This window comes from Homo sapiens, chromosome 1 (assembly GCF_000001405.40).
Source record: "Homo sapiens chromosome 1, GRCh38.p14 Primary Assembly".
Taxonomy (NCBI): domain Eukaryota; kingdom Metazoa; phylum Chordata; class Mammalia; order Primates; family Hominidae; genus Homo; species Homo sapiens.
Window position 1 is genome coordinate 28,493,843 of NC_000001.11, and position 20,959 is coordinate 28,514,801.

The 20,959-nt window shown below is 46.2% G+C and overlaps 2 protein-coding genes, 1 long non-coding RNA gene and 2 other non-coding genes across 13 annotated transcripts in view, besides 6 other annotated features; all 5 read left to right on the forward strand.

Moving 5' to 3' along the window:
• Positions 1 to 6,522, forward strand: part of PHACTR4 (phosphatase and actin regulator 4) — a 130,625-nt gene extending 124,103 nt beyond the window's left edge. For all 6 annotated transcript variants that reach the window (NM_001350159.2, NM_001350160.2, NM_001350161.2 and 3 more), the window contains one exon: positions 2,692 to 6,522. In NM_001350159.2, coding sequence (NP_001337088.1) covers positions 2,692 to 2,707 — 16 coding nt within the window. In that variant the 3' untranslated portion in view covers positions 2,708 to 6,522. The remainder of the gene's footprint in view (positions 1 to 2,691) is intronic.
• Positions 6,523 to 12,100: 5,578 nt separating this feature from the next.
• On the forward strand, positions 12,101 to 17,050 carry SNHG3 (small nucleolar RNA host gene 3). Of its 2 annotated transcripts, NR_036473.1 has the most exons (4): positions 12,101 to 12,242; positions 12,378 to 12,485; positions 14,286 to 14,318; positions 14,988 to 17,050. It is a non-coding gene; the product is annotated as a small nucleolar RNA host gene 3 (long non-coding RNA). The 2 variants fall into 2 exon arrangements; NR_002909.2 differs by lacking the exon at positions 12,378 to 12,485.
• Positions 12,201 to 20,959, forward strand: part of RCC1 (regulator of chromosome condensation 1) — a 32,947-nt gene continuing 24,188 nt past the window's right edge. For 2 of the 3 annotated variants that reach the window (NM_001381865.2, NM_001048199.3), the window contains exons 1-3: positions 12,201 to 12,242; positions 14,286 to 14,318; positions 14,988 to 15,063. The gene's annotated coding sequence lies outside the window, so the exon portion shown is untranslated. The remainder of the gene's footprint in view (positions 12,243 to 14,285; positions 14,319 to 14,987; positions 15,064 to 20,959) is intronic. The other variant, NM_001381866.2, reaches the window with a different exon arrangement.
• Positions 13,015 to 13,309: an enhancer, noted in NCBI's record as "tiled region #7965; K562 Activating non-DNase unmatched - State 2:TssF". NCBI's record gives its function as "activates a minimal TATA promoter and a strong SV40 promoter by Sharpr-MPRA in K562 cells {active_cell/tissue: K562}" and the evidence as "EXISTENCE:reporter gene assay evidence [ECO:0000049][PMID:27701403]".
• Positions 13,501 to 14,266: an enhancer, noted in NCBI's record as "NANOG-H3K27ac-H3K4me1 hESC enhancer chr1:28833855-28834620 (GRCh37/hg19 assembly coordinates)". NCBI's record gives its function as "activates a minimal SCP1, AML or CMV promoter by ChIP-STARR-seq in primed H9 embryonic stem cells {active_cell/tissue: H9 hESC(primed)}" and the evidence as "EXISTENCE:reporter gene assay evidence [ECO:0000049][PMID:30033119]".
• On the forward strand, positions 13,523 to 13,729 carry SNORA73A (small nucleolar RNA, H/ACA box 73A). The gene has a single exon (NR_002907.2). It is a non-coding gene; the product is annotated as a small nucleolar RNA, H/ACA box 73A (small nucleolar RNA).
• Positions 14,716 to 14,920, forward strand: SNORA73B (small nucleolar RNA, H/ACA box 73B). The gene has a single exon (NR_004404.2). It is a non-coding gene; the product is annotated as a small nucleolar RNA, H/ACA box 73B (small nucleolar RNA).
• Positions 15,799 to 16,564: an enhancer, noted in NCBI's record as "H3K27ac hESC enhancer chr1:28836153-28836918 (GRCh37/hg19 assembly coordinates)". NCBI's record gives its function as "activates a minimal SCP1, AML or CMV promoter by ChIP-STARR-seq in naive H9 embryonic stem cells {active_cell/tissue: H9 hESC(naive)}" and the evidence as "EXISTENCE:reporter gene assay evidence [ECO:0000049][PMID:30033119]".
• Positions 16,338 to 16,557: an enhancer, noted in NCBI's record as "active region_597". NCBI's record gives its function as "activates an Ori minimal core promoter by ATAC-STARR-seq in GM12878 lymphoblastoid cells {active_cell/tissue: GM12878}" and the evidence as "EXISTENCE:reporter gene assay evidence [ECO:0000049][PMID:35858748]".
• Positions 17,418 to 17,467: an enhancer, noted in NCBI's record as "active region_598". NCBI's record gives its function as "activates an Ori minimal core promoter by ATAC-STARR-seq in GM12878 lymphoblastoid cells {active_cell/tissue: GM12878}" and the evidence as "EXISTENCE:reporter gene assay evidence [ECO:0000049][PMID:35858748]".
• Positions 17,949 to 18,517: an enhancer, noted in NCBI's record as "H3K27ac hESC enhancer chr1:28838303-28838871 (GRCh37/hg19 assembly coordinates)". NCBI's record gives its function as "activates a minimal SCP1, AML or CMV promoter by ChIP-STARR-seq in primed H9 embryonic stem cells {active_cell/tissue: H9 hESC(primed)}" and the evidence as "EXISTENCE:reporter gene assay evidence [ECO:0000049][PMID:30033119]".

Here is a 20,959-nt window from a genome sequence, read left to right on the forward strand (position 1 = left end):
GTCTAGCACAGTTGATCTTACCAACTTAATGTATAAACAACATTTTAATTAGCTGTCTTCATGAAACAAGCCAAGAAATCCAACAAAGCCAACAAGCCAACAAATCAAGTGTTTTGATTTGGAATTACGGTTGTGATTAAGGACCCACCCATATCCAAAGAATCAGCTAGCCACAAATGGAATCAGTGAAAGTATCTTTACATGATTCTTAGAACATTTACAAAAAGAGGCAAATGAGGCTGAGTGCAGTGGTTCATGCCTGTAATCTCGACACTTTGAGTGGCTGAGGCGGGAGGATCGCTTGAGCACAGGAGTTTGACACCAGCCTGAGCAACATAGTAAGACTCCATCCCTACAAAAAAAAAAAAAATCTATTTTTTGATTTAGGCAGGGGCCTGGTGCAGTGGTACACACCTGTAATCCTAGCACTTTGGGAGGCCGAGGTGGGAGGATCACTTTGAGACCAGCCTGGGAAACACGGTGAGCCCCATCTCTACAAAAAATAAACTTAAAAAAAAAATAAGCAAGGTGCAGCCAGGCGCAGTGGCTCACACCTGTAATCCCAGCACTTTGGGAGGCTGAGGCAGGTGGATCACTTGAGGCCAGTTGGAGACCAGCCTGGTCAACATGGTGAAACCCTGTCTCTACTAAAAATACAAAAATTAGCCGGGCATGGTGGCATGCCTGTAGTCCCAGATACTTGGGAGGCTGAAGCAGGAGAATCACTTGAACCCCGGAAGCAGAGGTTGCAGTGAGCCGAGATCGCGCAACTGCGCTCCAACCTGGGCAACAGAGCAAGACTGTCTCTCAAAAAAAGAAAAAGAAGGACCAGCTTAAGCAAGACGATGGGAGAGAGGAAAACACATGGTGTTTCTGGGTAACAGAAAATGTAGCTGGATCAGAGGATGTTTGGGGCAGTGTGGTGAAAATAAACTAGAAAATGGGTTGCAGTCCCTCGCAATGCTTTGACTGTTATGCTAGGATGTTGGAACCATTGGCAGTTCATAAGCAGGAAATTCTGTGTATTTCAGAACAAGCTCTGATGCAAACAACAAAGATGATATGGAAGGATGAAGAGACTAGCAGCAAGGAAAACAGGAAGTATCTGAAATAATCTTAGTGAGCATAGTGGTAGCTCACACCAGAGATAGTGAGAATGCAAAGGTGATAGATTTGTAAGACATTTCAAGCATAGAATCAACAAGATGTGGCAATTTGTTGGATTCCAGAGATGAAATAAAGGAGTAGTCAAAATGACTCTGATATTTTTAACTTGTATTTTTTGAGGTCTTTGAAGGTGATAAGTTTAGCTGAACAGTTTAGTTTATTCAACAAATACTGAGCACCTACCACGATAGGTATAGTGCTAGGTCCTTGGGCTACAGCAGGAAATAAGATAAAGTCTCTGTCCTCAATGAGGCTTTATTCTTTTTTTTTCTTTTTTTAATAGAGATGGGGTCTCACTATGTTTCCCAGGCTGGTCTTGAATTCCTGGCCTCAAGTGATCCTCCCATCTTGGCCTCCCGAAGTGTTGGGATTACAAGTGTGAGCCACTATGCCTGGCCAAGCTTTTATTCTAAAAGAAGAAGGCAGACAATGAACAAGCTAGAAAATAAATTGCATGTGTTTAGTTTGAGGAGCCTATGACACATGGAGATACCTAGAAGACCATTAGATATGCAGCCTAGAATCCAGAAAGAAAGCAAAGTCTCAAGATACAAATGAAAGAAGATAGTGGACCTTTAGGGGGGATTTTATTTTTATTTATTTATTTTTTTTTTTTTTATTTTTTGAGACAAGGTCTCACTCTGTCACCCAGGCTGGAGTGCAGTGGCATGATCGTGGCTCACTGCAGCCTCAACCTCTCATGTTCAAGCCATCCTCCCACCTCAGCCTCCTCAGTAGCTGTGACTACAGGCACAGGCCACCACACCTGGCTAACTTTTTGATCATTTGTAGAGACAGGGTCTCCGTATGTTGCCCAGGCTGCTCTCAAACTCCTGGTCTCAAATGATCTTCTCACCTTGGCCTCCCAAAGTGTTGGGATTGATTACAGGCATGAGCCACCGTGACTGGCCAAGGAAAGTTGTTTTTTATTTAAAGGGTAGACAGAGGAAAATGAACCAGGACAGCATACTGAGAAAGATCAATTGAAGAAGAGAGAAAATTATGGAAAAGATAGTGTTACAGAAGCCAAGAGAAGAGTTCTTTTTTTTTTTTTTTTTTTTTTTTGAGACGGAGTCTCGCTGTGTCACCCAGGCTGGAGTGCAGTGGCGCGATCTCGGCTCACTGCAAACTCCACCTCCCAGGTTCACGCCATTCTCCTGCCTCAGCCTCGCGAGTAGCTGGGACTACAGGTGCGCGCCACCACGCCCAGCTAATTTTTTGTATTTTTAGTAGAGACAGGGTTTCACCGTGTTAGCCAGGATGGTCTCAATCTCCTGACCTCTTGATCCGCCCGCCTCGGCCTCCCAAAGTGCTGGGATTACAGGTGTGAACCATTGCGCCCAGCCGAGAAGAGTTTTAAGAAGGAAGCAGATGAGGAGTATCAGATGCAACAGAAAGGTCAGGTCGAATTAGAGCAGAGGAAAGGCAGTGTTAATTAGGTATAACATTTCATTACTACTGATACATTAATAGCAAAGCAATGTACATCATGTGGTAACTTGTCTCTTTTTTAATCTCTTTTAGCTACCATCGTCCATGATGCCAAAGGTTGAGAGAGGAATCAACATGGCTGCTTTGCTGCTTCCTTCTCCAAAGTGACATATGGAGGGAACTTTAGCACTTCCCAGCACAGCCAGAATTGCATCCTCTGGGATCTTCTGAGGTGGACAGCACTTTGAATGTAGCATTTCACTGGAACAGAGTCTTATGTGCTGCACCGGGGGCAAAACAACACTTTGTCAGTGCTTTTGAACCTTTCAATATTGTAGCATGCTTGAGGAGTTTTTCCCTTACTGGCCACCAAAGTTCTGAACCACTTGCAGGTTCCAGGTTTTACTGGCTGCACCACACCCCTTCCCCTAGATGACTGCCTGTGCAGAGACACAGTTTGCACCATTAGCCTTACCTGCCCTGCCCTGATTGTGAGACCCAAATGTGTAGGCTCTAAATTCCAGCCATCAAATCCAATTCCTGGTGGGGAAAACCTTCTGGAGACCCCCAACCTTCTGATAAAAGAGTCTCTACCTCCAGGGAAAGCCTTCTTACCACACTGGCATATCAGATGAAAGCATTGCACTGTACCTCTCGTAACACAGCAATACAGTCCTCTTGAGGCACTCAAGCCTGAGAGGAAGCTCAGGATCTGACATGTTCTTCCTTTTCCTCACAAGTCATCATGATTTTTTATTTTAAAATAATCTGGAAGTAATGGGAACTTAGTTTTTCCTGAACTCCAACCAGAATCCAAATTGGTTAGATGAGGCCAGGCGCGGTGGCTCACGCCTGTAATCCCAGCACTTTGGGAGGCCGAGGTGGGTGGATCACCTGAGGTCAGGAGTTCAAGACCAGCCTGGCCAACATGGTGAAACCCCATCTCTACTAAAAATACAAAAATTAGCCAGGTGTGGTGGCGCCTGGTTGAGGCATGAGAATCGCTTGAACCCAGGAGGTGGAGGTTGCAGTGAGCCAAGATCATGCCTACTGCACTCCAGCCTGGGCAACAAAGTGGGACTCTGTCTTAAAAAAAAAAAAAAAAAAAAAATCGGTTAGATGAGAAAGCATGTATATTTTCTATATACAAAAACAAGAAAGGCGTTTTGAGCCCCTGTGCTCAGGCCCACTCCCACACTGTGGAGTGTACTTTCATTTTCAATAAATCCCCTTATTCCTTCCTTGCAAAAAAAAAAAAAAAAAAAGCCTTAGCCAGATTCAGTGGCTCACGCCTGTAATCCCAACACTTTGGGAGGCTGAGGCGGGTGGATCACCTGAGTTCAGGAGTTCAAGACCAGCCTGGCCAACATGGCAAAACCCTGTCTCTACTAAAAAGTAAAAAAAATTAGCCGGGCATGGTGGCTTGTGCCTTGTAGTCCCAGCCACTGGGGAGGCTGAGGCGGGAGAATTGCTTGAACCTGGGAGGTGGAGATTGCAGTGAGCCGAGATCGCGCCACTGCACTCCAGCCTGGGTGACAGAGCGAGACTCCGTCTCAAAAAAAAAAAAAAAGCCTTAATATTAATGCTAACGTGGCAGAAAACTAGCAGGTTACATTTTATAGGCTATTGTAGTTTTATTTACCAAATGATATTCTCTAAATCACTTCGACCAATAAATGTATTCTCCTCCTTAAAGCAGAGTTGTATCAACTCTGTGGGAGCATTTATGAGCTGTCAGTCCCCACACTTCTAGCCAGAATCACAATAAGGTCTGGCTGGGTGTGGGGTGCTGCATAGGAAAGGGTCTCTGGAGAAGCAAGAAGGGCACAATCATGGCCCACTGCTCCCCTCTTCTTCTCAGTGCTCTTTGCCCTCTCCTGCTGCGTGCTTCCTCTTCACTCCAGTGCTGATCCTCCTGCTCTCTCTGGCAGCTTCCACCTCACCCGCCCCTCTTCCACACTATAACCAGTATGGTTGGTGCTGGGGCATTGACTCAGCCCCCCTGCTTTCTGCATTTGTAATAGATATTAATATGATTTCCTAAAACAGAAGATTTTGTTGCTTTCTTTGAACTTGTATTGAAAACCATACAGTCTCACTGTTTTGCTTTAATTCCTATCCACACTATAAATGGAAGAAAAAAATTAATAGCTTCTGTTTAATCTGATGAATGTGGCTTTTTTTCCCTTCACTTTAATGTTCAAGAAGTTGTGGCTATTTCATAGATTTCTTCTGATTTATTCTGTGGGTCCCTGTTATCTGTTCTTTATGTAATCTTTCAGTAGATTTTCATCCTTTCATATCCACATTCTTATGTGGACTTGCTGAAGAAACAGAATATCAGTTCAAAACAAAACCTAGGCCAGGCATGGTGGTTCACGCCTATAATCTCAGCACTTTGGGAAGCCAAGGCGGTCAGGAGTTTGAGACCAGCCTGACCAACATGATGAAACCCTGTCTCTACTAAAAATACAAAAATTAGCCTGGCGTGGTGGCACGCATCTGTAATCCCAACTACTCAGGACGCTGAGGCAGGAGAGTCGCTTGAACCCAGGAGGCGGAGATTGCAGTGAGCCAAGATTGCACCACTGCACTCCAGCCTGGGCAACAGAGCGAGACTCCATCAAAAAAAAAAAAAAAAAAGAAGGAAGGAAGGAAAGCAAGCCCTGAATCCACATCTCCTTGAAGTTTTTTTTGTTTTATTTTGTTTTTGAGACAGAATTTTGCTCTTGTTGCCCAGGCCGGAGTGCAATGGTGCAATCTCAGCTCACTGCAACCTCCGCCTCCCGGGTTGAGGCGATTCTCCTACCTCAGCCTCCCAAGTAGCTAGGATTACAGGCATGAGCCACCACGCCTGGCTAATTTTATATTTCTAGTAGAGATGAGGTTTCTCCATGTTGGTCAGGCTGGTCTCAAACTCCCGACCTCAGGTGATCCACCCACCTCAGCCTCCCAAAGTGGTGGGATTACAGGCATGAGCCACCGTGCCGAGCCTTCCTTGAAGTTTTTTGTTTGGTTTTGATTTGTTTTGTTTTGTTTTGTTTTGTTTTGTTTTTGGAGATAGGGTCTCACTCTGTTACCCATGCTGGAGTGCAGTGGCACAATCTTGGCTCAGAGCAACCTCTGCCTCCCAGGCTCAAGCAATCCTCCCACTTCAGTCTAAGTAGCTGGGACTACAGGCACGTGCCACCAGGCCCAGCTAATTTTTGTGTTTTGTTAGAGATGAGGTTTTGCCATATTGCCCAGGCTCGTCTTGAACACCGGGGCTCAAGGAATCTGCCCATCTTCGCCTCCCAAAGTTCTGAGATAGCAGGTGTGAGTCATCATGCCCAGCCTCCTTGAAGTTTACTAACAATTGGGATAACTGAGGGAAGAGAAGTGACAATTCCACTCAGTCTATTAGAGGTCTGGATATAAGGTAGCCACACAATAACTCTAACTTGACTTCTAACCATTCTATCTTATTGATTTGGAGGCTGTCTTCTGCCAGATTTTTTGTGGCTTGAGATGATATTTTCGAACCCTTCTTTCACTACCTTTCTTACCCTTAATGTGCCAAGCTTGAAACAGGATTTGATTTCCTGAGCTACTTGTTCGCCTTCTGTGCGTCACCAAGTAATCTGGTTCATCTTTCGTCTCATTCATGTTATTTTCAAGTGAAACAAGACATTTTGGGGGTCAAGTCTCTTTGGGTGTTTTGTTTTTATGTATATAAAAATGGATTTTGTGTTCCCTTTCCATGTAAGTACCAACTTATATGGAAACTCACAATCATAATGTAAAGAAGAAATGAAAGCCTGGTGTATTGTACTTCAAGATGCCTCCCTGATGTATAGAATCTCCTTGTAAAATAAATAATTGCATTGTATATCAGTCTTCTCATCAATATTAATTATTAAATATTTTAGAATTTTTAAATACCAACTATACTATTCTGGTGTGAGGTATTTTCTTTTACATTACACTCTATCCCAAAAGATTAAATCCAGCTTAAAAATGATATGTAAGCCAGGTGTAGTGGCTCACACCTGTAATCCCAGCGCTTTGGGAGGACAAGGCAGGCGGATCACCTGAGGTCAGGACTTTGAGACCAGCCTGACCGACAGGGAGAAACCCCATCTCTACTAAAAATACAAAATTAGCTAGGCGTGGTGACACATGCCTGTAATCCCAGCTACTCGGGAGGCTGAGGCAGGAGAATCACTTGAACCCAAGAGGCGGAGGTTGCAGTGAGCTGAGATCGCGCCACTGCACTCCAGCCTGGGCAACAAGAGCAAAACTCCGTCTCAAAAAAAAAAAAAAAAGAATTTATATTAACCACATATAATTGGACCCCCAAGATGACATTACAAAAGGACACTTAGTACTTTTTCTTTTTTTTTTTTTTCCCCAGGACGGAGCCTTGCTCTGTCACCCAGGCTGGAGTGCAGTGGCATGATCTCGGCTCACTGCAACCTCTGCCTCCCGGATTCAAGCAATTCTCCTGCCTCAGCCTCCTGTGTAGCTGGGAGTACAGGCGTCTGCCACCACCCACGGCTAATTTTTTGTATTTTTAGTAGAGACGGGGTTTCACCATGTTGGCCAGGCTGGTCTGGAACTCCTGACTTCAGGTGATCCGCCTGCCTCAGCCTCCCAAAGTGCTAGGACTACAGACATGAGCCACTGCACCCGGCCCAGGACACTTAGTACTTCATGTTATCTTTTCCAGCAAGCAGCCCAGTTTCAGTCCAGGTGGCCTCAGCAATGACTCACTTCTATTTGTCACTTAAGAGACTGGCCTTGTTTAGTGCACCACCCTTTACCAAGAGTTAAAAGAAACCATGAGTCAGAACTCCTTGTGTCCACCTGCTTCCAGATTGTCCTTCTACTAGCCCTCCAAAGAAGCCTCAAATTGCTATTGCCCTTTTGAGGTTAAATTGTCTCCAGAAAGCTGTTTTGAAGATGAAGATTGCCCAGTGTTTGCCAAAACAATGAATGAATTTTGGGTCTCTGTGGATTTATATAACTGTACCCCAGGAAAAGGCAGGTCCAGCCCGGTGCAGTGATGCACACCTGTAGTCCCAGCAGCTTGGGAAGCTGAGGTGGAAGGATCAGTTGAGCCCAGGAGTTCAATACCAGCCTGGGCAACATAGACCTTGTCTCTTGAAAAAAGAGGAGCAGGTCCAATGGACACTGAATAGGCAAAGGATGAAATAATAAGCATAAAAAGATGACAATGTGCAACAAAGAAAATCCTATCCTTGAAGCCAAAATACAGCCAGCACCACTGTTTCAACGTTCTATTCCATTTCAGCCCTAGGAGGCATGAAGGGAAAACCAGGAATGACCAGCAACCCAGACCTCTTGCTCCATCTGTCATTTTGTGTGGATATTGTTAATTTCTTCCCCAAAGAATTTTGCCTCCTATGTAGAGCATAGAGGTCATCTGACAGGAACAAACAGCTTTAATGTTCCTTCATTTGGCACTGAGGACACACAGTCCTCAGTGAGGATTGTGGGAGGGGGAGCATTAAATAAATTATTTAATGCTTACCTCCTTCCTACCCTCACCCGCAACAAAGACACAATCTTCCCGTGACCCCAATTTCTCTTCAATCTATTACCCTCTCTCCTGCTTTTCCTATACTCCCTTCACACAATCTATTCCAATGTTAAACAACCCAAGTTCTCAGGCCAGGCAGCTGGGCTAAATGATTGACAGAGGAAGAACTAGTGATGGAGATGTAAACTGAACAGGCTTCTTGGCCTTGCTTCATAACCTCTGGTCTGTGCACATTGTTTTCCCTACCTAAGGCCATATTCACTCAGCTCATTAAAATCTAAACGAAATCCAAACCAATATGGCTTTCCTGTGGTCACCAGGGATTTCTCAGCCTTCGGTTATTGCACTTGGCTGCTTTGCAACATTTGGTGCTTTGGACAATGTTCTAGTCCTCAAAACTCTTCTTCCTTGGCTTCTGAGGCACCGCTGTCTTCTGGTTCTCCTTCCCTGACTGACCTTTCTCTGTGCTGCTGGCTTCTTCCTCGAACACCATTTAAATGCTGGGTTTTCGGCCAGGTGCGATGGTTCACGCCTGTAATCCCAGTACTTTGGGAGGCCGAGGCAGGTGGTTCACCTGAGGTCAGGAGTTCGAGACCAACCTGGCCAACATGGTGAAACCCCATCTCTACTAAAACTACAAAAAAATTAGCTGGGTGTGGTGGCATGTGCCTGTAGTCCCAGGTACTTGGGAGGCTGAGGCACGAGAATTGCTTGAACCCGGGAGGCAGAGGTTGCAGTGAGCCAAGATCACAACACTGCACTCCAGCCTGGGTGACAAGAGTGAGACTCCATCCAAAAATAAATGAATAAAATAAAATAAATGAATGCTGTGTTTTACCGGGTGTGGTGGCTCATGCCTGTGATCCCAGCACTTTCGGAGGCCAAGATTGGCAGATCGCTTCAGGCCAGGAGTTCAAGACCAGCCCGGGCAGTATAGTGAGAGGCCATCTCTACCAAAAATTTAAAAAATTAGCTGAGCATGGTGGTGCATGCCTCTAGTTCCCGTTACTCAGAAGAGGCTGAGGTGAGAGAATCGTTTCAGCCCTGGTGGTCCAGGCTGCAGTAGTCCTGATCACACCACTGCATTCCAACCTCAACAACAGAGCGAGATCTTGTCTCAAAATAAAATAAATGCTGGGGTTTCATGTCTTCCCATCACTCTCCTCATTCTTCCAAGACGACTTTAGCCACCATGCTAATTCTTACAACTTCTAAATATTTTATCACCAACTCAGATTTCTTACAGGAAGCCCAACCCCATATATCTAATTGCTCTTTGGACTTATATACAACCAGATGTTACTCAGGTAACTCGTATATACTCCAATGTGGACATTACTCCTCCCCCACTGCCTGCATTTCCACTTATCAAGGTTAGAGACCATAGTATGTTCAGCCTCCTAAGCCTGAAACTCTGGTATCCTCAAGTTCTTCTCTTACCTTGCAATTCCAGTGGGACGACAAACCCTACATCAGAAATGTCTTTTTTTTTTTTTTTTTTTTTTTTTTTTGAGATAGGTTCTTGCTCTGTTGCCCAGGCTGGAGTGCAGTGGCATGATCACGACTCACTGCAGCCTCCATCTCCTGGGCTCAGGTGATCCTCACACCTCATAAGTAGCTAGGATTACAGGAATGTGCCACTACACTCAGCTAACATTTTTTTTAAAATTTTGTAGGCCGGGGTCGGGCGCAGTGGCTCAAGCCTGTAATCCCAGCACTTTGGGAGGCCGAGGCAGGTGGATCATGAGGTCAGGGGTTCAAGACCAGCCTGACCAACATGCTGAAAACCCGTCTCTACTAAAAATACAAAAATTAGCTGGGCATGGTGGCGGGCGCCTGTAATCCCAGCTACTCAGGAGGCTGAGGCAGGAGAATTGCTTGAACCTGAGAGGCGGAGGTTGCAGTGAGCCGAGATCGCACCACTACACTCCAGCCTGGGGGACAGAGTGAGACTTCATCTAAAAAAAAAAAAAAATTTGTAGGCCGGGCACGGTGGCTCATGCCTGTAATCCCAGCACTTTGGGAGGTCAAGGCGGGCAGATCACGTGGTCAGGAGTTCAAGACCACCCTGGCCAATATGGTGAAACCCCGTCTCTACTGAAAATACAAAAATTGGTGGGGCATGGTGACACTTGCTTGCAGTCCCAGCTACTCGGGAGGCTGAGGCAGGAGAATTGCTTGAACCCAGGAGGCAGAGAATGCAGTGAGCCAAGATCGAGCCACTGCACTCCAGCCTGGGCAACAGAGCAAGACTCCATCTCAAAAAAAAAAAAAAAAAGAATTGCTGCGATAGTAAATAATGTACGTAATAAAGCATTCAGAACAAAATCTAATATGTAGGAGGAACACCATAAACGTTACTACTCAAGATAGCCCAGCTGTGATAGCTCTGTCTCTCTAGCCAACGTTTTTCCACCTTACACCACACTAAAAATTCCATCATATTTGCAACATTTCTTATGTATATATATCGTAAGCATTCTTTACTTGCCTACTTCATATTCAGAGGGTTTTGTGTGTGGTAAAATATACATAAAACTTGCCATTTTTAACTAGTTTAAAATGTATAGGGGGCCAGGTGTGGTGGCTCAGGCCTGTAATCCCAGTACTTTGGGAGGCCAAGGCGGGCATCACTTGAGGTGAGGAGTTCGAGAGCAGCCTGGCCAACATGGTGAAACCCGGTCTCTACTAAAAATACAAAAATTAGCCGGGCATGGTGGCATGCCTATAGTCCCAGCTACTCGGGAGGCTGAGGCAGGAGAACTGGTTGAACCTGGGAGGTGGAGGTTGCAGTGAGCCGAGATCACACCACTTCCTTCCAGCCTGGGCGACAGAGCGAGACTCCGTCTCAAAAAAAAAAAAAAAAAAAAAGTCCAGGTGCGCTGGCTCATGCCTGTAATCTCAGCACTTTGGAGGCCGAGGCGGGTGGATTGCTTGAGGTCAGGAGTTCGAGACCAGCCTGGCCAAGATGGTGAAACCCCGTCTTGCTAAAAATACAAAAATTAGCCAGGCACGGTGGCGGGCGCCTGTAATCCCAGCTACTGGGGAGGCCGAGGCAGGAGAATCGCTTGAACCCGGGAGGCCGGGGTTGCAGTGAGCCGAGACCGCGCCATTCCACTCTAGCCTGGGTGACAGAGCAAAACTCCATCTCGAAAAAAAAAGAAAGAGTATAGGGCAGTGCTTTTAATTACATTCATTCACACTGTTGTGCAATGGAGTTTTTTATTTTTTATTTTTATTTATTTTTATCCGGGCCAGGCCTGGAGTTTTTAAACTTTTATCTGATTCGTCTAGGGGCACTTTCATCTTATTTACCTTCACATTTATCAAATTATTTCTTTCACAGGTGACAGAGCAGATTCAATTCCTTTTGATACTCCGTATTTCTCTATATGTATTTTTTTCATTCTGCATTCTTATTATTCCAACGTTTTACTTATTTATTTGGAGAGAGAGTTTCGCTCTGTCGACCAGGATGGAGTGCATCGGCGCGATCTCGGCTCACTGCAACCACCGCCTCCCAGGTTCAAACGATTCTCATGCTTCAGCCTCCCGAGTAGCTGGGACTGGAGGTGCGCGGCACCATGCCTGGCTTATGTTCTGTATTTTTTGTAGAGACGGGGTTTCGCCATGATGCCCAGGCCGGTCTCGAACTCCTGGCCTCAAGCGATCCGCCCCTCACGGCCTTCAGAGCTGCTGTAATCACAGGCGTGAGCCACCGCGTTCGACTCTTCCAAAAACTTTTTGGCCAGTTTATCTAAGGGCATATCCTACAGACTGAGTCCAGTGATTGCACAGAAGTAAACGTCCTCTGCAGCTACATACCTACAAACCTATTTCTGTAACGTACATTCCCCAGCAAGGTCCCGCGGGAAGGATCCACTACCGCGAGAGGCCTCCCAGCCAGGAAGGGGTGGGGCTCAATCTGCAGTAGATTCCCAGAAGCCTCAGTGAGTTTCTGATTCTCTAACTGCGCATGCTTCTGCGCACGCGCAATAGACATTCCAGGACTTCCGGGCACTTCGTAAGGTTTAAAAAGGATGCTTCGCGTTTTCTCTCTCCTTTTTGGAGACAGATTCGCAGTGGTCGCTTCTTCTCCTTGGTAAGTGTGATCCTTGGTAAGTGTGATCAGATGCTTGCCACCGGAGTTGTGGGTCTAATGCTATAGATCAGTAGCCGAGCTTCCCTAGGAAGATCATATAGTATTTTATTTATTTACTTTTTTTTTTTTTTTGAGACGGAGTCGGTTTGTCACTCAGGCTGGACTGCAGTGCTCGTTGCAACCTCCGCCTGCCGGGTTCAAGCGATTCTCGTGCCTCAGCCTCTCCAGCAGCTGGGATTACAGGCACGTGCCACCACGCCCGGCCAATTTTTGTATTCTTAGTGGAGACGGGGTTTCGCTATGTTGGTCAGGCTGGTTTTGAACTCCTGATTTCCGGTGATCCACCACCCTCGGCCTTCCAAAGTGCTGGGATTACAGGCGTGAGCCACCGCGCCTGGCCGGAAATCATGTAATTTAAAACTATATATGGGTGTCTTAGGCGGCATCGGTCCCAACTCTAAAGTACGCGTTAGACGGGCCTGGGCCAGAAGTGGGCCATGGAGACCTCGGGACCCGCAGGGCTGCCGCCCGACCCAGCGAGCCTCTGAAGGTGCACCGCCACCCCCACTGTTTATCTTACTGCCTCATAGTAGGCACATTGTCGTTCTCAATATAATTGCACACAGTTTTATTCTGGATCCTCATTTGCCTTTAAGAATTTTCTCAATTTTTCTTTTTATTTGATCGCACCACTGCAACCTCCGCCTGCTGGGCTCAAGCAATTCTCCTGCCGCAGCCTCCCGAGTAGCTGGGACTACAGGCGTGTACCACCGCGCCTGGCTTATTTTTGTATTTTTAGTAGAGACGGGATTTCACCATGTTGGCCAGGCTGGTCTCCAACGCCTGACCTTGTGGTCCGCCACGCCAGGCCGAAGATTTTCATAATTTGGAAGCATTGCGTTTCGTAATTATGCTTTCTCGTATTTTTGTGATTTGGGTCATTTTTATTTTTATATTTTTAGGATTACAGGCGTGAGCCATCGTGCCTGGCCGATTTGGGGGTAATTAACAAGTCCACGTGTTTCATTTGAATTTAGGATAGCTGGGCCTAATTGTTGTCTTTGCTTCTGCGGTACCTTCCACATAGTACTAACCGCCTATTGTAAAGTAATTAGAATAGCTGAATATGCATGTTACCAGTCTAGAAACCGATTTTTTTTTAACACCCCACTGTGGACAGGGTGGAAACTCGTTTGCTTTCTTGTTTAAGATCTGTAGTAACATGAATGGATGAAATTGTTTCCTATTGGATTCTGTAAATTTATGCGTTACACTGATTGTCCAACGTGGATACACCCGGGAGGTCACTCTCCCCGGGCTCTGTCCAAGTGGCGTAGGGGAGCATAGGGCTCTGCCCCATGATGTACAAGTCCCTTTCCACAACGTTGGAAATAAAGCTGGGCCTCGTGTCTGCGCCTGCATATTCCTACAGCTTCCCAGAGTCCTGTCGACAATTACTGGGGAGACAAACCATGCAGGAAACAGCCTTCTAGAGCACTGAATCTGGATTGAAGTCTTTTTTTTTTTTTTTTTTTTTGGAGATGGAGTCGCTCTGTTGCCCAGGCTGGAGTGCAGTGGCGCACTCCATTGCCTCTGCCTCCCGGGTTCAAGTGATTATGCTAAGTGATTCTCCTGCCTTGGCCTCCTGAGTAGCTGGGATTACAGGCCCCCGCCACCACGCCAGGCTAATTTTTGTATTTTTAGTAAAGACAGGGTTTCACCATGTTGGTCAGGCTGGTCTCAAACTCCTGACCTTGTGATCCGCCAGCCTCTGGCCTCCCAAAATGTTGGGATTACAGGCGTGAGCCACCACACCTGGCTGGATTGAAGTCTTAATACATGTTTAAGAAAAATTGGCTAAAAAGTAGCCAGGCATGATGATAGGTAGCTGGAGGAAGGAGAATCGCTGGAGCCCAGGAGTGACCTATACTCAAACCTATACTCCAGTGCCACTGTACTCCAACCCCAGGCGATAGCATGAGGCCCCTCGTTGAAAAAGTTTAGGGTTTTGCTGTACTAATAGATTAATATCTTGTTTTGCAGGATTTGTTAAGGATTCCAAGTAACTCTTATTTGGTGAGTAAATCTGCTAATTGTTTTTTGCTTATCAGCTCTTTGTCAATGATTTCTGTAATGGAAATAGGATTGAAGAGACTTTTATTCTAGTTGGTCAGGATTTACCTCTGAGGCATTTAATCATTCTCAGAGCAATAGCCAAATATCGACTTTGCTGCATTTTTGTAGGCATGTTGACATAACTTCAACATATGCTCTGTTCTGTAAAAATTGCTTTTTTTAGTCAGCTCATTAAAAGTGCAAAGTAGTAAAAGCTGCCCTAGTGAACTGTAGGAAGCCTAATTGGCTTTATCTACATGTGTAGCCTGAGCTGAGAAAGATACTAGCCCTTGAAAATACTGTGGGTGATTAGCAATATTGGATTTGTCGGTTACTCCAATTCCTCACTAATGAGCATTCCAACGTGGATACCCTGGGAGGTCACTCTCCCCAGGCTCTGTCCAAGTGGCATAGGGGAGCTTAGGGCTCTGCCCCATGATGTACAGTCCCTTTCCACAACGTTGAAGATGAAGCTGGGCCTCGTGTCTGCGCCTGCATATTCCTACAGCTTCCCAGAGTCCTGTGGACAATGACTGGGGAGACAAACCATGCAGGAAACATATCTAGTATACTAGATTTTAAGTTGAAGTAGGATCTTCAGGAGTCTAATCATTATTTCTTTTCTTTTAGGAGAGAAGACGATCTGCACTTCGCATTTTGGCATTGACATTTAATTTTAGGGTCCTTTATATAGAAGGGAGAGTAGGTAAACTGATTTTTTTTTTTAACAGGGAGGGTTTGACAATCTTTGGCAGACTTGGAGCAAAAGATTGAGGTGCATTTCATGCCTCCTTTTGAGAGTCTTGCTCTGTCGCCCAGGCTGTAGTGCAGTGGCGCAATCTTGGCTGCAACCTCAGCCTCCCAAGTAGCTGGGATTACAAACATAAGCCACCACGCCCAGCCCTCATACCTCTTTTAAAAGTCGACCTGTTTTGCAGAAAGTCTGCTGTTTTTGTACTAAAGGCTTTGGAATTTGGCATTTAGCTAGGAATGCACATTCTTTCACCTCATTCATACTTTAAGAACCACAGAAGTGACTCTGCTTGGCCAGAAGGCACACTGTGTTGGTGGTTATATTAAAAGTCCTTGAGTATTTTGCTTTTCATGATCTTGCTCACTGCAACTTCCGCCTCCCAGGTTCAGGCGATTCTCCTGCCTCAGCCTCCCAAGTAGCTGCGACTACAGGCGTGTAGCACCACACCTGGCTAATTTTTGTATTTTTAGTAGAGATGAGGTTTCACCATATTGGCCAGGCTGTTCTCAACTCCTGACCTCGTGATCCGCCCACCTCAGCCTCCTAAAGTGCTGGGATTACAGCTGTGAGCCACCCTGCCCGGCCACTTTTGTATGATTTCTAATGTATTTGTAATTTACCTAACAAATTGCCTAATCTGCTATGTTAATGTATTTATGAATTAAAATAAATACGACTGCATGTTTGTGGTTCATTTTTGTGGAGGTGGCTGTGGTGACATCAGCCAAGAATCTGAATGGTACTGTTGAAGGAAACTAGCATGATAGCTTCAGTTCTAAAGGCCCTGAAACCTAGTCTCAGGTGGGTCCCCCTTGGGTTCACTTTATATTGGCAGTTTATTGGGAAAATGGATATTAGGTCCTGACCAATAGGACCGTAAGTCTGGGTTGAGTGCAAGATGAGTTAGACCGATTCTTTAGCTTCCTGCAGTGTAGTGGAGGAAAAATCGATGGTAGCAACGGGAGGTTGTATCCCTAGCTGATGAGTTGTATGAGCCTCTACTACCTGGCGCACCTCCGCCTGAAGATTGCCAGAATTGCTTGCCTCATGACGTGAGTCACAATGGAAACTTTGTCAAGCCCCCTGCACTGGCTGCCAACATAAATGTTCAGTACCCTGAAGGATGGGACTGAAGGGGGATCATCTAGAAGGTAAAGTTACCTACTGGCATAGGGGAGGTGGGACAGCCGTTAAGCCATTTGGAACTTGATGGAGACAGGTTTGAGGGAGGTGGGTGAGATTGGAGTTTGGTGGACTGTAGAGCTTGCTTGCCAAGGTGTTGAGGTCAGGGTTGGTTTGAGAATGGAAGCTAGTTACTAGCTATGATTGTGGGGGAACACAGCTTGATTTTTCTTACAAGCTAAGAGGAGTGAGGCAGTGTTTAAGAGGGCATGTTAAATGCAGCCAGGCTTGGTGGCTCACACCCGTAATCCCAGCACTTAGGCTAAGGCAGGCGGATCACAACATCTAGAGATCCTGGCCAACGCGGTGAAACCCTGTCTGTACTAAAAATACAAAATAACTGGGCATGGTGGTGTGCACCTGTGGGAGGCTGAGGCAGAATTGCTGGAACCCGGGAGATGGAGGTTGTACTGAGCTGAGACCTTGCCACTGCGCTCCAGCCTGGTGACAGAGTTAAGTCTCAAAAAAAAGGCATCTTCCTAAAGCAATTGTATTTGTGCTTACCTGTGCCAGGCACTGTTCTAGGTAAGCACTAAGTGGGCTTTAATACAGCATATTCCAATGGGGAATCCCAGGAACCAAAAGACTAATTGTCCAAGTCCACAACTAGAAGTGGCACCTCTGCAGAAACAAGCATCAAATTCCCTGCTCAGGAAGAAGCCAGATGAGTCAGCCCCATTCGTCTGTATGCCCAGTCCCATCCGTGTCCTGCTGTAACTACATAGATCTCACCTGAGTAAAGTGATTTTTTTCTGAACCAGTGGTTTTAGTATGTTTTCAATCCATATACTCAGGTGGGTTTGGGTAACTGCAGTGCTGGGCAGGAAATGAATGAATTTCTATTGACTTGCAAGGTAGAGGTGAAGCAAAGCTGTCAGTAGGTGTTCAGGTCCCACTCTGCTAAACTTCAGCTTGCAATACCCCTTTTTTAGACTTTCCAAACAGGCACTTCTGGCCTTGTTCTTTGTGTAGGCAGACAGTATTGGTTGCCTATCTTAGGAGTACTAGACTGGGTTTGAATCCTGATCCCACCACTTGCTGTTCATGAGACTTTGGGTGAGTTACTCAGCCCCTCTGCCTCAATTTCATGTTCACAAAATAAGTGATAAACTACCTCATAGAGTTGTAATAAGGACAAAGGAGTTGGTATTTGTGAAAAGATTCTTAGGGTCTCTAGATGGAGTGCAGCAGCATGATCACTTATTAAATAACATTCTTTTGTGACTTCTCAGAAACCAAGGATACAGTATCCAATTTTTTGTTTTTTGTTTTTTTTTTTTTTTGAGAGGGAGTCTCGCTCTGTCGCCCAGGCTGGAGTGCAGTGGCACAATCTCAGCTCACTGCAAGCTCAGCCTCCCCAGCAGCTGGGACTACAGGTGCACGCCGCCACACCCGGCTAATTTTTTTGTATTTTTAGTAGAGAAGGGGTTTCACCATGTTAGCCAGGAAGGTCTCCATCTCCTGACCTCGTGATCCGCCCACCTCGGCCTCCCAAAGTGCTGGGTTTACAGGCGTCAGCCACCATGCCCAGCTTTTTTTTTTTTGAGATCTAATCTCACTCTGTCTCCAGGAGGGAGTGCAATGGAGCCATCTTGGCTTGCTGCAACCTCCACCTCCCGGGTTCCAGCAATTCTCCCACCTCAGCCTCCCAAGTAGCTGGGATTACAGGCGCACGCCACCATGCCCGGCTAATTTTTTTTGCATTTTTTAGTAGAGACGGGTTTCACCATGTTAGCCAGGCTGGTCTCGAACTCCTGACCTCAAGTGATCCACCTGCCTCAGCATCCCAAAGTGTTGGGATTACAGGCGTAAGCCACTGCGCCTAGCCTCAAGCCTGATCCTTTTTTTTTTTTTTTTTTTTGAGATGGAGTCTTTGCCTCCCAGGCTGGAGTGCAGTGGCGTGATCTCAGCTCACTGCTACCTCTGCTTCCTGGGTTCAAGCGATTCTCCTGCCTCAACCTCCCAAGTAGCTGGGATTACAAGCGCCTGCACCGCACCCGGCTAATTTTTGTGTTTTTTTTTTCAGTAGAGACAGGGTTTCGCCATGTTGGCCAGGCTGGTCTCAAAACTCCTGACCTCAGGTGATCCACCACGCCCGGCAGAGCCTTGATCTCTTAACCACTATCCTCACCTCCCCTTTCCCTAAGGATCCACAATGGCCTCACTGGCTCTTGAAGGCAGGCTGGCACCTTGATCATTCTTCCTGGTCATTAGTATTCTGATCTGGTTATTTTCCATTTTATGTCCATCTAACCTACTTGGAGGATCCTCAAGAGACTGCATATGTAAACTCAGTACTTATTCTTGTACTGTGCCTGCCATATAGCAAGCACTGGCTGATTTAATTTTTCTGTGTTCTTTTTTATTGATTTGTTTTTATCTTTATTATTTTCTTTGCTTATTTTGGGGTTAGTTTGCTCATCTATTCCTAGTTTCTTAAGCTAGTAGCTGAGCTCATTGATTGGAGACCTTTCTTTTTTTCTAATGTAGGCATTTAGTGCTATAAATTTCCTCCAGATACTGTTAACAACACACAAATTCTGGTATGTTTTGTTTTCATTTTAATTCATTTCAAAATATTTTTGAGTTCCTTTTCTATTCTTTGATCTATGGGCTACTTGAAAGTGTATTATTGTTGTTGTATTAGTGTTGTTCAAATCTATCCTTGCTAGTTTCTTTTTTTTTGGAGACTGCGTCTCCAAAGGCTGGAGTGCAGTGGCACAATCTTGGCTCACTGCAAGCTCCGCCTCCTGGGTTCACACCATTCTCCTGCCTCAGCGTCCCCAGCAGCTGGGACTACAGGTGCCTGCCACCATGCCCTGCTAATTTTTTGTAGAGATGGGGTTTCACCATGGTCTCAATCTCCTGACCTTGTGATCCACCCGCCTCGGCCTCCCAAAGTGCTGGGATTACAGGTGTGAGCCACCGCGCCCAGCCTCTTTTTTTTTTTTAGACAAGAGTCTCACTCTGTTGCCAAAGCCAGAGTGCAGTGGCACAATCTCAGCTCACTGCAACTTCTGCCTCCGGAGTAGCTGGAATTACAGTCACGCACCACCACGCCCAGCTAATTTTTTTGTATTTTTAGTAGAGATGGGGTTTGCGCGGCTGAAGTGCAGTGATGCGATCTCAGCTCACTGCAACCTCTGCCTCCCAGGTTCAAGCAATTTTCATGCCTCAGCCTCTGGAGCAGCTGGTACTACAGCATGCACCACCATGCCTGGCTAATTTTTTTGTATTTTAGTAGAGATGGGGTTTCACCATGTTGCCCAGGCTGGTCTCAAACTCCTGAGCTCAGGCAGTCCGCCTGCCCTGACCTCCCAAAGTGCTAGAATTACAGGCATGAGCCACCGTGCCTGGCCTTATTTTAAAATTTTATTTCTTGTAGGTAACATGTTGGGTTTTTCAGTATGACAGTCTATGTCTTTTAATTGGAGTGTTTAGGCTATTTACTTTTTTTTTTTAAGACAGGGTCTCACTCTGTCACCCAGGCCAGAGTTCAGTGGCAAGATTATGACTCACTGCAGCCTTAAACTGGAACTCCTGGGCTCAAGCCATCCTCCCAGCTCGGTCTCCTGAGTAGTGAAGACCACAGGCATGTGCCACTATGGCTGGCTAAATTTTGTATTTTTTGTAGAGACAAGGTCTCATGATGTTGTCCCAGCTGGTCTTGACCTCCAGGGCTCAAGCAATCCTCCCACCTTGGCCTCCCAAAGTGCTAGGAATACAGGCATGAGTCACCATGCCCAGCCATATTATACATTTTTAACTTACAATAGTCCACATTCAATTGATATTAAACCAGTTCACTTGTAGTATAAGAATCTTCCCCAGCCTGGCCAATATGGTGAAACCCCGCCTCTACTAAAAATACAAAAAAAAAAAAATTAGCCAGGTGTGGTGGTGCTCGCCTGTAGTCTCAGCTACTTGGGAGGCTGAGGCAGAAGATTGCTTGAACCTGGAAGCAGAGGTTGCAGTGAGCTGAGATCGTGCCAGCCTAGGCAACAGAGCAAGACTCCGTCTCAAAAAAAAAAAAGGCGGGGCCCGGTGGCTCACGCCTGTTATCCCAGCATTTTGGGAGGCCGAGGCGGGCGGATCACGAGATCAGGAGATCAAGACCGTCTTGGCTAACACGGTGAAACCCCATCTCTACTAAAAATACAAAAAATTAGCCGGGCGTGGTGGCGGGTGCCTGTAGTCCCAGCTACTAGGGAGGCTGAGGCAGGAGAATGGCATGAACCCAGGAGGTGGAGCTTGCAGTGAGCCAAGATCGCGCCACTGCACTCCAGCCTGGGCGACAGAGCGAGACTCCGTCTCAAAAAAAAAACAAAAAAAAAACCTTCTGGCGGCCTGGTGTGGTGGCTCACACTTGTAATCCCAGCACTTTGGGAGGCTGAGACTGGCGGATCACCTGAGGTCGGGAGTACAAGACCAGCCTGACCAACATGGAGAAACCCCGTCTCTACTAAAAATACAAAATTAGCCGGGCATGGTGGCACATGCCTATAATCCCAGCAACTCGGGATGCTGAGGCAGGAGAATTGCTTGAACCTGGGAGGCAGAGGTTGCAGTGAGCCGAGATCATGCCATTGCACTCCAGCCTGGGCAACAAGAGCAAAACTCCATCTCAAAAAAAAAAAACAATCTTCCGGCTGGGCACAGTGGCTCA